General features: G+C 41.0%; 1 long non-coding RNA gene across 1 annotated transcript; it reads left to right on the top strand.

Annotated features, from left to right (window-relative positions):
* The first annotated feature begins 1,500 nt into the window (after positions 1-1,500).
* LOC124909451 (uncharacterized) lies at positions 1,501-4,566 on the top strand. Its single transcript, XR_007096136.1, has 2 exons — positions 1,501-1,972; positions 3,885-4,566. It is a non-coding gene; the product is annotated as an uncharacterized LOC124909451 (long non-coding RNA).
* The last annotated feature ends 9,331 nt before the right edge of the window (positions 4,567-13,897 follow it).

Here is a 13,897-nt window from a genome sequence, read left to right as displayed (position 1 = left end):
TCTCAAAGCTGTTGTTTAACAATTTAATATTAAATAATGATCTCAACATATAAATTAATAGTCTGTTTAAGATTTGTCTCCTCACAACCTTCTGTTCCAGAAAACCAAATACAGCAAGAATGAGAGAAATTGCACTGTTGCATTAAAAAGAATTTTCCTGCCGGGCGCAGTGACTCACGCCTGTAATCTCAGCACTTGGGGAGGCCGAGGCGGGTGGATCACGAGGTCAAGAGATCAAGACCATCCTCGCCAACATGGTGAAACCCCGTCTCTACTAAAAATACAAAAAATTAGCCGGGTGTGGTGGCGGATGCCTGTAGTCCCAGCTACTCAAGAAGCTGAGGCAGGAGAATCACTTGGACCCTGGAGGCAGAGGTTGCAGTGAGCCGAGATTTCGCCACTGCACTCCAGCCTGGCGACATAATGAGACTCTGTCTTAAAAAAAAAAAAAAAAGGAATTTTCCTCTCACTTTCTTCTCACCACTACTAGATTAAAGGAGCCCCCTTTTCTTCTGCAGGTGAGAGGTGACAGCGTGCTGGCAGTCCTCACAGCCCTCGCTCGCTCTCAGCGCCTCCTCTGCCTGGGCTCCCACTTCGGCGGCACTTTAGGAGCCCTTCAGCCCACCACTGCACTGTGGGAGCCCCTTTCTGGGCTGGCCAAGGCCGGGGCCGGCTCCCTCAGCTTGCAGGGAGGTGTGGAGAGAGAGGCGCGAGCGGGAACCGGGGCTGCGCGCGTGGCTTGAGGGCCAGCTGGAGTTCCGGGTGGGCGTGGGCTTGGCGGCCCAGCACTCGGAGCAGCCCCCTGCCGGTCCCGGGCAATGAGGGGCTTAGCACCCAGGCCAGCGGCTGCGGAGGGTGTACTGGGTCCCCCAGCAGTGCCGGCCCACCGGTGCTGCACTCGATTTCTCGCCGGGCAGGGCTCGGGACCTGCAGCCCACCATGCCTGAGCCTCCCACCCCCTCCGTGGGCTCGTGTGCGGCCGGAGCCTCCCCTAGGAGCGCCGCCCCCTGCTCCAGGGCGCCCAGTCCCATCGACCACCCAAGGGCTGAGGAGTGCCGGCGCACGGCGCGGGACTGGCAGGCAGCTCCACCTGCAGCCCCATTGCGCGATCCACTGGGTGAAGCCAGCTGGGCTTCTGAGTCTGGTGGGGATGTGGAGAAGCTTTATGTCTAGCTCAGGGATTGTAAATATACCAATCGGCACTCTGTATCTAGCTCAAGGTTTGTAAACACACCAATCAGCACCCCTGTCTAGCTCAGGGTTTGTGAATGCAATCGACACTCTGTATCTAGCTACTCTGGTGGGGACTTGGAGAACCTTTGTGTGGACACTCTGTATCTAGCTAATCTGGTGGGGACGTGGAGAACCTTTATATCTAGCTCAGGGATTGTAAACACACCAATCAGCGCCCTGTCAAAACAGACCACTCAGCTCTACCAATCAGCAGGATGTGGGTGGGGCCAGATAAGAGAATAAAAGCAGGCTGCCCATGCCAGGAGTGGCAACCTGCTCGGGTCCCATTCCACACTATGGGAGCTTTGTTCCTTCACTCTTTGCAATAAATCTTGCTGCTGCTCACTCTTTGGGTCCACACTGCCTTTATGAGCTGTAACACTCACTGCGAAGGTCTGCAGCTTCACCACGAACCCACCGGGAGGAACGAACAACTCCAGATGCGCCGCCTTAGGAGCTGTAACACTCGCCGCGAAGGTCCGTGGCTTCACTCCTGAGCCAGCGAGACCACGAAGCCCACCAGAAGGAAGAAATTCCGAACACATCCGAACATCAGAAGGAACAAACTCTGGACACGCCACCTTTAGGAACTGTAACACTCACCGCGAGGATCCGCGGCTTCATTCTTGAAGTCAGTGAGACCAAGAACCCACTAATTCCGGACACACAGGGACAGCAATCCACTGCTTGCCTTGATGTACGATTGAAGCCTATCACCCCTTCTGCAGCAGTGGCTCCAGTAAGTCTTTCAAACTTTGTGGTTTTGATGGAGACAAATGAGACATCAATTCCCCCAATTTCCTTTGAGGGAAAAGAAGTTTCCTTTGTAAGTTTTCCTTCAAAAGCCAGCCACAGGGTCTGGTTTAAGGAATCTGCCTAATAGGAGTTCTGTTTTACTGGCCACTTGTTACATAATCTAGCAATCAGAAGCTAAAAGAAAAGACTGTGTGTATGGGTCTTAAGAAGATAACACATGCTGGGTGTGATGGCTCATGCCTGTAATCCTAGCACTTTGGGAGGCCAAGGTGGGCAGATCACTTGAGGCCAGGAGTTCGAGACTAGCCTGGCCAACATGGCAAAACCCCTAAAAATAAAAAAAAAAAAATATTCGCTGTGTGTGGTGGTGCACACCTGTAGTCCCAGCTACTTGGGAGGCTGAGGCAGGAGAATTGCTTGAACCCAGGAGGTGGAGGTTGTAGTGAGCCGAGATCACACCACTGCACTCCAGCCTGGGTACAGAGCAAAGCTCTGTCTCAAAAAATAAAAAAAAGAAGACAGTAACACGTAATACTGCAGTATTCAGGCTATTTAAATAATTTTGTGATTGTTATATTCAGTTCTGTCATAGAAGTTTGTAAATCTTTTGAAGTTTTCTCTAAATCTATTTTAAAACACATGTAAAATGGAAATTACTGCTCTATTCAACTATTGTAATATGAACATATTACCACAAAATATGAAAATAAAATTATTTCTGTCAAGGAATTTACATTTTTAAAATACCTATTGCCTTGTAGACTATAATGTGAAATTAACAAGACATGATCCTGGAAAACTGAACAAATATTTCTGTGTTTCACATAAGCTAAATATCCTAAAAAACCAGTTCAGACATTTTTGCGTAAAGGACCAGATAGTAAATACTGCAGATTTTGCAGGTCATACCATCTCTGTTGCACCTACACATTTCTGTTGCACCTTGTAGCATGAGAACAGCCACAGAAAATATGTAAATAGATGTGTTCCAGTAATACTTTATGAAAATAGGTAGTGGACTGCATTTGGCCCACAGATCCATAGTTTGCCAATTTCTAAACCGTGTATTGAGGGGAAAAAATCTTTGTTTCTGAAGGTTCTTTTAGTCAAAATAAACTACTAATCTGTCATTAGATAGAATCACAACTCTTGGCCATAAGTTATAGTAAAATGATCACTCACATAGTATATTTCAACCAATATGACTGTAATTCTGTATGGTTGCTATTTTTACATAAATCATTTAAAATTTCTTCTCAATAGTTAAGTTTCACTCTATCACCCAGACTGGAGTGCGGTGGCACAATCTCCGCTCATTGCAGCCTCTGCCTCCCGGATTCAAGTGATTCTCCTGCCTCAGCCTCCCCAGTAGCTGGGACTACAAGTATGTGCCACCATACCCAGCTAATTTTTGTATTTTTAGTAGAGACAGGGTGTCACCATGTTGGCCAAACTGGTCTCAAATTCCTGGCCTCAAGTGATCCACCTGCCCCAACCTTCCAAAGTGCTGAGATTACAGGTGTGAGCCACTGTGCCTGGCCAGTATCTGCCATTTTTTATTGTACTTCTAACATCTTTTTCTTATCGATTCGTAATTGTTGATTATGGATTTATATAGGGGAAAACTAGTCCCATGTCAATTATATGCCTCACAAATAACTTTATAAGTTTGTTATTAGACTTTTATTTGTTTATGCTTTTTTATTTAGTTTCTTTTTAATTTCTATTTTGAATATATTGATCTCTTCCTTTATGAGTTTCCTTTGTGAATTTCTTGCTACAAATTGGAAGACCCCTCACGCTCCAAGATATTTTATACAATTTAATGTTTTCTTCTAGCATTGTTAGGGTTTTATTTTTAATGGTTAAATTTTGGTTTGTTTTTCCACTGAAAGGAGAGCATCAGTAAAGATGGCAAGATTGAAATCCAAGCAACAGAATTTCCACTGAATAGAAATTTCTGAGGAAAGTGTAAGGACAGGTGTGAGAATTCTGGTGGCAAGGATGAGGAAGCATCCCCCTTCCCAAACAGGAAAGAAGAGCCAAGAGACCTGAAAAGGAGCTGGAGCCAAGAAGGTGAAAAGGTGAGAGTTCCCATTGCAAATAACCTTCTCTCTGTAAATAAAAATGGAAAGGCACCTGCTGAAAGATGGGAGACCATGTGTGAATTTGGGAATCTGAGTAATAATAAAGCTGTTCCTAACAGTGACTGTGCAGTGCAGCACAAAGTTGCCAGGCTGCTAAATTTGGGTTACAGAAATTTGTGAAGATGCCAATTCAGGTTTTTTTGTTTTTATTAAGAAGGATACTAGCAATTCTTAAATCTGTCAGATCAGATTATCTTAAAATTTCTGAAGGCTTTTTTTCCACACAAACAAATAAATATTTATAAAATGAACTATATGCTCATACCCTTAGTGAAAATATATGCACATCAATTTATGACTTGTGTAAGTCAATTACTAATTCAATTACTAATGGGAAATTGGATGAACTCAGTAAAACTGTCTTAACTATGTCTCTTGAGTTTCTTTTTCTATTACATGCTAAATTACAATAAAACCTTGACTACCTAAACTCTCAGAGATTCAGTTTTTTTTTTGTTTTGTTTTTTGGTTTTTTTTGAGTAGTTGAGTATTTGTTTAGAAAACATTGCTGTTGTCTGAGTTGTTCTGTCACAGTAAGAAAAATATTTAGGCCGGGCGTGGTGGCTCACGCCTGTAATCTCAACACTTTGGGAGGCCAAGGTGGGTGGATCACCTGAGGTCAGGAGTTAGAGACCAACCTGGCCAACATGGTAAAACCCCATCTCTACTAAAAATACAAAAATTAGCCAGGCATGGTGGTGGGCACCTGTAATCCCAGCTACTCGAGAGGCTGAGGCAGGAGAATCACTTGAACCCGGGAGGTGGATGTTGCAGTGAGCTGAGATCGTGCTATTTTACTCCAGACTGGGTAACAAGAGCGAGACTGACTCGAAGAAAAAAAAGAAAAGAAAGAAAAATATTTATATTCTCTTCATTAGATAACTAGTATGTATTTACTGTAATAAATTTGGAAAGTATAGAAAAGAAAAAAAAAAAACCAAAGTAAATATAACAAATTACCCAAAAACAAAAAATTAACATTCTGGTTAACAGTCTTCTTGTCTTTTTATCACAGAATTATTTTATATATTCCATAGGTCTAGTTTTCTTGTGCCTGTTTTAACTTGCCGCTCAATGTAGGCCTCAGGTATTCTATAAACTACTGGTCAGGAAATAAGTCAAGAGAGATAACTTAACATTTTTTCTCTCTTATTTAATAGTTTGGGGTAATATAATATTTATATTTTTTATGTTAAAGTTGTCTCAATGCTACCGAGGTTAAAAGTTGTCCAGGCAGTTGCTTTCTTGACAAAGCCCCTTAGGGCAGCCTGGTTGGGGTTGTTTGACTGTTTGTCCTACAGGTGGGATAAAGCATGTCCAGGTTCATGAACTCTGGGGCAGCAGAATATGGTTGCCCATCTGCACAATTAACCAGTGAATCGAGGGCATCAGCTGCATTCTCCCAAATGGTTTTGTCACTCTCCAGAAATTATCTTCCTCTTTGTTGCAAACAGTGCCCTTTGATGTGTCAGCACCATTCAAAGCACCAGCAGTGACTTCTGCATCACTAACACATTTCTGCTTTCTTTGTCAGTTTGCACCCAGGCTTCTATCTCTTTTGCTCAAAATTTTTCCTGAGGCTTAAAAGAAATCTTCCCCTTATTCTTTCCAAAGTATGTCCTAGCATACTTTGCAAAGTATGTCCCAATAAGCATTCGGAAATGACTTATTCTCTCAAGGCTACAAAATCTTTACCCGAAAAATTTTTAAAAAGGTACTTATGCTGACATGATTTCAGGCTATTTTCTCTAAATTGTTCGTGTTTGATTTGACTAGAATACCAGGCATAAGCAGTATTTAAAATTGTATATTCATTATAATAATGGGGTGAGAATTCCTAAATATTACATGCCTGATAAACCTACTTCTTCATTAAACCTCATATGCAGTACAATTTTCTATCTTGAATAAAACTTTTTTTTTATAGGCTAACACAGGGAGTTAATATTTGGTGGCTAGGAGATAGAAATAATGTTCACAGATACCACAATATTTCCTCTAGATGAGCTGAATAATTGTGTGAAAACAGGATATATCGTTATCCTCAGATAAGCCTCTGGTTCTGAAAAGATCCTTCATCAAATGTAAGTAAAAATGGTTCAAGGAGGTTGGGTATGACAAGAGAAAATATCTTTGACTTTCCAAGCATTATTTATACTTTGGGTACTACACTACACTCTAGCATACTCTAGTAACATACAATTTCCTAAATATTAAACTGTCAGCATATTCTTATTCTGTTTAATTCAAATAAACTTTTTTTTTTTTAGATGGGGTCTTGACATGTTGCCCATGCTAGTCTCAAACTCCTGGCTTTAAGCAGTCCTTCTGCTTTGGCCTCCCAAAGTGCTAGGGTTACAGGCATGAGCTACCATGCCTAGCCCAAATAAAATTTTATTGAATGTGTAAAGCTATAAGTTACATTAGACTGGCTGGGCAAGGTGGCTGACGCCTGTAATCCCAACACTTTGGGAGGCCGAGGTGGGTGGATCATTTGAGGTCAGGAATTCGAGACCAGCCTGGCCAACATGGTGAAACCCTGTCTCTACTAAAAATATATAAAAAATGAGCTGGGCATGGTGGCATGCGCCACCAGCTACTTAAGAGCTGCTTAGGAGGCTGAGGCATGAGAATCACTTGAACCCAGGAGACAGAGGTTGCAGTGAGCCGAGATCACGCCATTGCACTCCAGCATGGGTGACAGAGTGAGACCCTGCTTCAAAAAAAAAAAAAAGTTACATTGAACCAACTTTATATGACTTTCATGTATCAAGCTTGAGCCTAAGTTTATTTCATTCTGGGATGCAGGCAAGTCAGGGAAGGAAGGTCTAGGACAAGGAAATCAAGCCAGGAAACAGACCATTCTGTAAAGGTTCAAGTTACCACTGGGGAGGTATGAGAAGGGAAGATCGTTGAGGCTCATAAGTGTGATTCAAGGACAACAGAAAGCATAAAAGAGAAAGGGAGATGTCTGTCTAAAGTAGAGTTTACATCTTAGATTATCCTTTGGAATTTCCCCAATAAGTCTATGTGGGGGAAGGAGACTGTAATAGAATAGCAAGACATTTTAACCATTGAAATTACAAGATACCAGCAGCATTGGGTCCCATAGCTTCTGCAACATGCCATGCCATGGTCTGCAGCTTTGATGGCTACAGCAGTCACAGGGGGTCTGTGATAGACCTCTAGGGCAGCAAGCAGTCACACTGGGCATTGGCAGCTGCTGCAAAGACCTCAATATAATGAGTAAAGAAAAGCAATGGTCCAATACATAGAACAACCAGGGAGGCTGGTCAGGGAAAGGGCAAGATAGACCACCATAATGGTGCTGTTCGTGAGGAATTAAGGAGGCCTGGACTTCCTGCACTGTTACAGACTAAGGCAAAATAATAAAAATAAGATATATCATTGTTATTTTCTTACCCCTAAGCTAGAATACTACAGGAAATTAAGTTATATGGGAAATTGTTTAGAAAGAAGTTTTCTACAAGCCACAAAAGTTTTCTAACACCCCTCTCCCACTTCATCTTTATAGAATTTGCTGGGTTTGTTTTTAATGTCTTCTAAAGTTATCTCACACTGAAGGAATTAGAAATACTTATGGCTGCACTTATCAGGAAACCCAACTGATATGGTTTGGCTGTGTCCCCACCCAAGTCTCATCTTGAATTATAGCTCCCATAATTCTCACATGTTGTGGGAGGGACCCAGTGGGAGATAATTGAATCATGGGGGCGGGTCCCCCATACTGTTCTCAGGTCGTAAATAAGTCTCATGAGAGCTCTTGATCTTATAAGGGGTTTCCCCTTTCACTTGGCTCTCATTCTCTCTTGCCTGCTGCCGTGTAAGACATGCCTTTCGCCTTCTGCCATGATTGTGACGCCTCCCCAGCCATGTGGAACTGTGAGTCCATGAAACCTCTTTTTCTTTATAAATTACCCAGTCTCAGCTATGTCTTTATCAGCAGCGTGAAAACAGACTGATACACCAACTGAGGGTGGTGGGACTAAACACATAAATATTTATCACATAACAAGAAGTCTGAAAGAGGACTTCTGGACTAATTGGCCTTGGTCCAATTGCTCAGTGAAGAGAATTGCTGTCCCAGAAATGTAGTCTGTTTCTGTGGCAGGAAAAAGATGGCCTGGGAAGGTGGAATGAAGAATGCACAAGCACAAACTTCAGGACACTTTCAGTTACATTTCTTGGCTGGTACTGCATTGAATGCCCTTGTATCTGTAAGGGATGCTAGGAAAATTAATATTTAACATTTCCACCTTCTATAGTGGAGGGAGACAAAGGAGAAATAAAAGGAGAATGGTGTTGAGTAAGCCAGACTATAGTGTCTACCCTAAATCACTCTTCAGAAACTCAGTATTTTTCTCTCTATTGAATTTGCACATCATTTCTTCATGCCCATGCAATAAATATTGGGCAAGAGGTACAATCATTTATCTTTTCATTAAAAAATACATTTAAAAGGCTTTATTTGTTTTCCAGTTTGGTTGCATAGTTTTTACCAACTCAACTTTTAAAAAATATTTTATGCTTTTTGAAACAGGGCCTCCATCTGTCACCCATGCTAGAGTGCAGTGGCATGATCACGACTCACTGCAGCCTCAACCTCCCAGGCCCAAATGATCCTCCCGCCTTAGCCTCCTGGGCAGCTGAGACTACAGGCATGCACCACCATGCCCACTAATTTTTTTTTTTTTCTTTGAGACGGAGTCTCGCTCTGTCACCCAGGCTGGAGTGTAGTGGCACAATCTTGGCTCACTGCAACCTCCGCCTCCTGGGTTCATGCCATTCTCCTGCCTCAGCCTCTCGAATACCTGGATCTACAGGCGCCCGCCACACACCCGGCTAATTTTTTTGTATTTTTAGTAGAGACCAGATTTTACCGTGTTAGCCAGGATGGTCTTGATCTCATGACCTTGTGATCCACCCGCCTCGGCCTCCCAGAGTGCTGGGATTACAGGCGTGAGCCACCGCTCCCGGCTAATTTTTTAATTTGTTGTAGAGACAAGGTCTTTTTGCCTAGGCTGGTCTTGCACTCCTGAACTCAAGCCATCCTCCCACTTCAGTATCCCAAAGTGCTGGGATTATAGGCATGAGCCACCATACCCAGCTGTCAACTTTCACTTACATAGAAATCTGCCAAAAACATAACTTTTTTTTTTACATTTTTTGAGTCCTGACATACAATTCGTAGTAAAAAGAGCACTAGATTTTTAGTCTAACAGACTTACTTTTAAATTTTGTCTTTCTATTTTTAGTAGAGATGGGGTTTCACCATGCTGGCCAGCATGGTCTTGAACTCCTGACCTCGTGATCCACCCACCTCAGCCTCCCAAAGTGCTGGAATTGCAATTAGCTGGGCATGGTGGTGCATGCCTGTAATCCCAGCTACTGGGGAGGCCGAGGCAGGCGAATCACTTGAACCCAGCAGGCGGAGGTTGCAGTGAGCCGAGATCGCACCACTGTACTCCAGCCTGAGCGATAGAGTAAGACTCTGTCTCAAAAAAAAAAAATAAATAAAAGTAAAAGTAAAAAATTTGACTTTCTAGATGTAAAATTTGGGACAACTTAATTTCTATGGTAGCTAGTCTTCAAGATGGCCCCTACCGATCTCACCACCTGCTGGCATTCATACCTTTGAATCGCCTTTACCCATGGTGTATAAGGTTGGTCTGTATGATCAATGGATCATGACATAAGTGATGGTATGCCACTTTTAAGATTAGGCTATAAAAAAAGACAGCAGCTTTTGTCCTGGGCTCTGTCTCTCTTGCATTTCCCACTCTGGGGAATCCAGTTTCCACTTCTTCCAGACACCCAGGCAACCCTGTGGAGAGGGCCATGTGACGAAGAATTTGGACACATATGAATTGTTCATGTTCATTTTCCCAGGTTTACTCTTTTTAAAACTCCTTTTGTTGTTTAAGATTAGCACAATTAAAAAAATGTCTTTGCCCTTTGCTTTTTGCTGGAACTAGTGTAGTATACATGTCATTGTACACAGCTGGCTCTATGACATTGCCTTGGCACCCTACTGCAGTGAGGTTGGTTTGTTATTTAAGGTCACTTGCATTTAATAATGAATGTCTTTCTCAGAATGTTGAATGGTCGGTCTGATGTGTCTTTAGTGGGCTACCAACTAAATAAAATATTGACCTATTGATGTAAATGGGCCTTGTCGTCCACTAGAAGGCCTCAGGTGATTTTAATATGTCCCACTAGGGGAATGCACCTCCATTACTGAATGACTGATATGGGGAGGATGTGGTGAAGATGATTGTCTGTCACACACTCTGCAGAGTTTTCCAGTCTTATTTTGCTTTGTCTCTAGCCCTTTGCCCCTTTCCATTGCCGCATCCATTTCCATTCACAGACTCCATGACTGCAACTGCTGCCAACTTTGCTACACAGCCTCAGATCATCTCTACTATTTTTCTTTACACTTTTTAAAAATTACTTTCTTATTTCTTATCTTATGCTACTTCTATACCTCAGTGCTTTCATGCCAGAAAAGAAGTGTGCATATATAAGTGTATAACACACATATACACAAACACATTTATGTGTGTGTATTCTATCTAATTATATATTCAGTTAGAACACTCCTTTTTTTCTTGGTCAACGTAGCATGCTTGGAATAATTTTCAGTTCACTGAACTGTCTTCACTATCATTTGTTGCTGGATACTCAGGGCCTACTTCTTTGCCCCAAGGCAGGGCTTTTGCATTGTTGTTGCTGTTGATTTAGATTTTTAAGTTTGTTTTGTATCTGCAGTAGTTCTAAATGTCTGAGGGTTTTGAAATACTGATTTCTAGAGAGAAGAGATGTCCTCTGCTATTATTTATGGGTCCCAGGCTCTCACCATGGTTATTGCCAATTAGCCCTACCTCCTAACTGGTCTCTTTGCCTCCAGTCTTGCTCTCCCCCATGTACCAATCAATCCTATGTAATTCTGGTAGATACAGCTCATTGAAAACATAACTGGGAAAATGAATGAATCATAATATGGATGACTCTTAAAGACATAATGTTGAGTGAAAAAAGCCAGACACAACAGAAGACATGCTGTATGATTCTGTTTATAACATTCATAAAAGGCAAAATTAAACTATTTTGTTCAGACATGTAGAGAGTAAACTGTTAAGGAAATCAAAGAATAATGATTAGCACCATAGGAGGAACTTTGCATTTGGATATGTTGTAGAATGAGGATTGGGGGCAGGAAAGGCTACATAATTTGTGGGGCCCAATGCCAAATAAAAATATAGGATCCCCTATTCAAAAATTATTATGAATTTCAAGATGGCAACAGCAGAACATAAAACCAAGCAGAGGACCCTTCTCGGTACCAGGCTCTGTGCAATTGCTCAAGTTGCAGACACCCATGAAGCCAGCCCTAATTTGAGGACTGGCTTCTGGGGTTCTGTTAATGCTTTTCTTTTCTTTTAACTTGGGAGGAAGGGAGTCATACATATATTTGTTTCAGAAAAATACTGAAGTTGAACATTTACAATATAAGTACTTTTCTATAAGTTTATGTATTTTACAATTTTTAATGTGAAAAACAAAAGCAATCAGAACTGACCAGACCACTTCCTGCTCAAAAACATATAAAATGTTTTCCCATGTATTAAAATGCTTCCCTTTGCATTTTCATTTGTTGCAGGCTCAGCTCAAATGCCAGCTCATCTATGAAACATCCTAGATTTCTTCTGTTAAAATTAACCATTTCCTTCCTCTCCTCCCTTAGCACTTTCTGTATTATAGCTTTTAATTTCCCTGCTTCAAATCAGACTTCTTTGAAATTGTTTTTTCTGATGAACATGAAATCTTGGAGAAATATTTCAGTCTTATTTCGTATTTAGGACCCTATAGGGCATTAGATAAGTGATTATTGAATTTAATTGAAGTTATTTCCAAAGATTATCATAACCCATTATAAAACCTAAAATGCTCAAAATCCTACACATCAGAAGTCCTTAAACTATTCAGTGATGCGAGGTAACAAAGGTAAAAGTTTCTACACAAACTAAGGTATGTTTGTTCACCTGGTAAAAATTTGAAATAGACACCAAGTGTTTCATGATATCATTCAACATTTTTCTGTGATATCTTTCAAGATTTTTCTGTTTCACATCTGAGACGAATCTCATAGTCATCTTTTTAAGACTTTTAACATTGTAAATGTAATATATTAGGAGGCACTTTTTATGTAATAGACACCCTAGATACCATTTTCACCAGGAGCACATTTTAAAACACTATTACCCACTGTTTTCTTTGAATTTTTTTTCTGGGCATGTTTTAGCTCTCGCTAACACTTTGGGTTTTTTTGATAAACATGTGACTTGGACATTTTCTTACAACAGACAGATGGGTGTGTTCTGTGGGTATTATTTCTCAAATGAAGAAAATGTTCCTCTTTACCAGCATCTGGGTAAGATTTGGATTTCTGTCACAGATTCAAAATATAGACAGAAGTATCATCTCTCTCCTACATAAGGTGACTCTGCAAGTAATCTTTTTCTTTTTTTTTTCTTATGCCAAGCTTTGAAATCACAAATGAAGTATGGGTTCAGAAAAACCACTATTAGTATTAATATTTGGACATATCTATTCATCATTCATTTTTATGGATATCTCCAATCATACTGCCCAGAGAGCCAGTTTACAAGTCTGTGGCAGCATAAACGCCTTTCACATGTAAGTAAAACACTGATGAATAGACTGAAAATAATTTTTTTTAAATAGTGATGAGGTCTCACTATGTTGCCTAGGCTGGTCTCAAACTCCTGAGTTCAAGAGATCTGCCCACCTCGGCCTCCCAAAGTGCTGGGATTATAGGCATGCGCCACAGCGCTCAGCCTGATGAATAGACTTTTAAATGTATACAGAAATAAGAATATTTTATTCATCTGTACATGTAACTTAACTACAAATCCTGCTCGATGGTACAGACATAAATTAAAATAATTCAAGGAAAAATGTCTGCCATTTCTATAAGATAATTTATCTTAATTGACACAAAGATTTTAAATGATTCTTCTCTTACTCTGCTAAGTAATCATATGCAAGGTGGGAAAAATCAACCTTTTATTCTTTGCTGGAGACAATTACAGGAGGAGACTATACAATTTCATTGAAGGATTATTTATGCCCTATGGCATCCCTTTCTCCAACACTTGTCACCTAATGACCAGGGATCAATACCCACAAATACAGTAAGACCTATTTTTAAAGGTTTTCAGCTTAACTGTTTTGTCTCTTAATAAATTTTTATATAGAACATGTGGTTTCTAGGAGCCCCAACTGCTTCAGGGTCTTTGCATTTGTTGTTTTCTCAGCCTGGGGTACTCTCTTTTCAGCTCTTCCCATAACTGGTTTCCTCTCATACACTAAGATGTTACCTCTTCAGAGAGGCCATAGCAACCTCTATCTATGTCAACAGCATTCCCTTCTCCCTGAACCCTGTAGCCAGAAGTTAATATAGAGGGCATGTCTGCAGGCCAAATCTGATCCTCTGTTTTTGTACAGCTCATGAGTTAGGAATGGTTTTAACCTTTTTTTAAAAAAATGGTTAAAATAAATAATATTTAATGACGTGAAAATTGTAAGAAATTCAAATGTTAGTGTCAATAAATAAACTTTTATTAGAACACAGCCCTGCCTATTCATGTATATTGGCTCTATGGCTGCCTTTAGACTTCTTCAGTAGAGTGGAGTAGGGGCAACAAAGATACAAC

The sequence above is a fragment of the Homo sapiens genome, chromosome 3 (genome assembly GCF_000001405.40).
Source record: "Homo sapiens chromosome 3, GRCh38.p14 Primary Assembly".
NCBI classification, from domain to species: Eukaryota; Metazoa; Chordata; class Mammalia; order Primates; family Hominidae; genus Homo; species Homo sapiens.
Note: the sequence above shows the minus strand (reverse complement) of the source record. Positions and strands in the feature narration are given on the sequence as shown.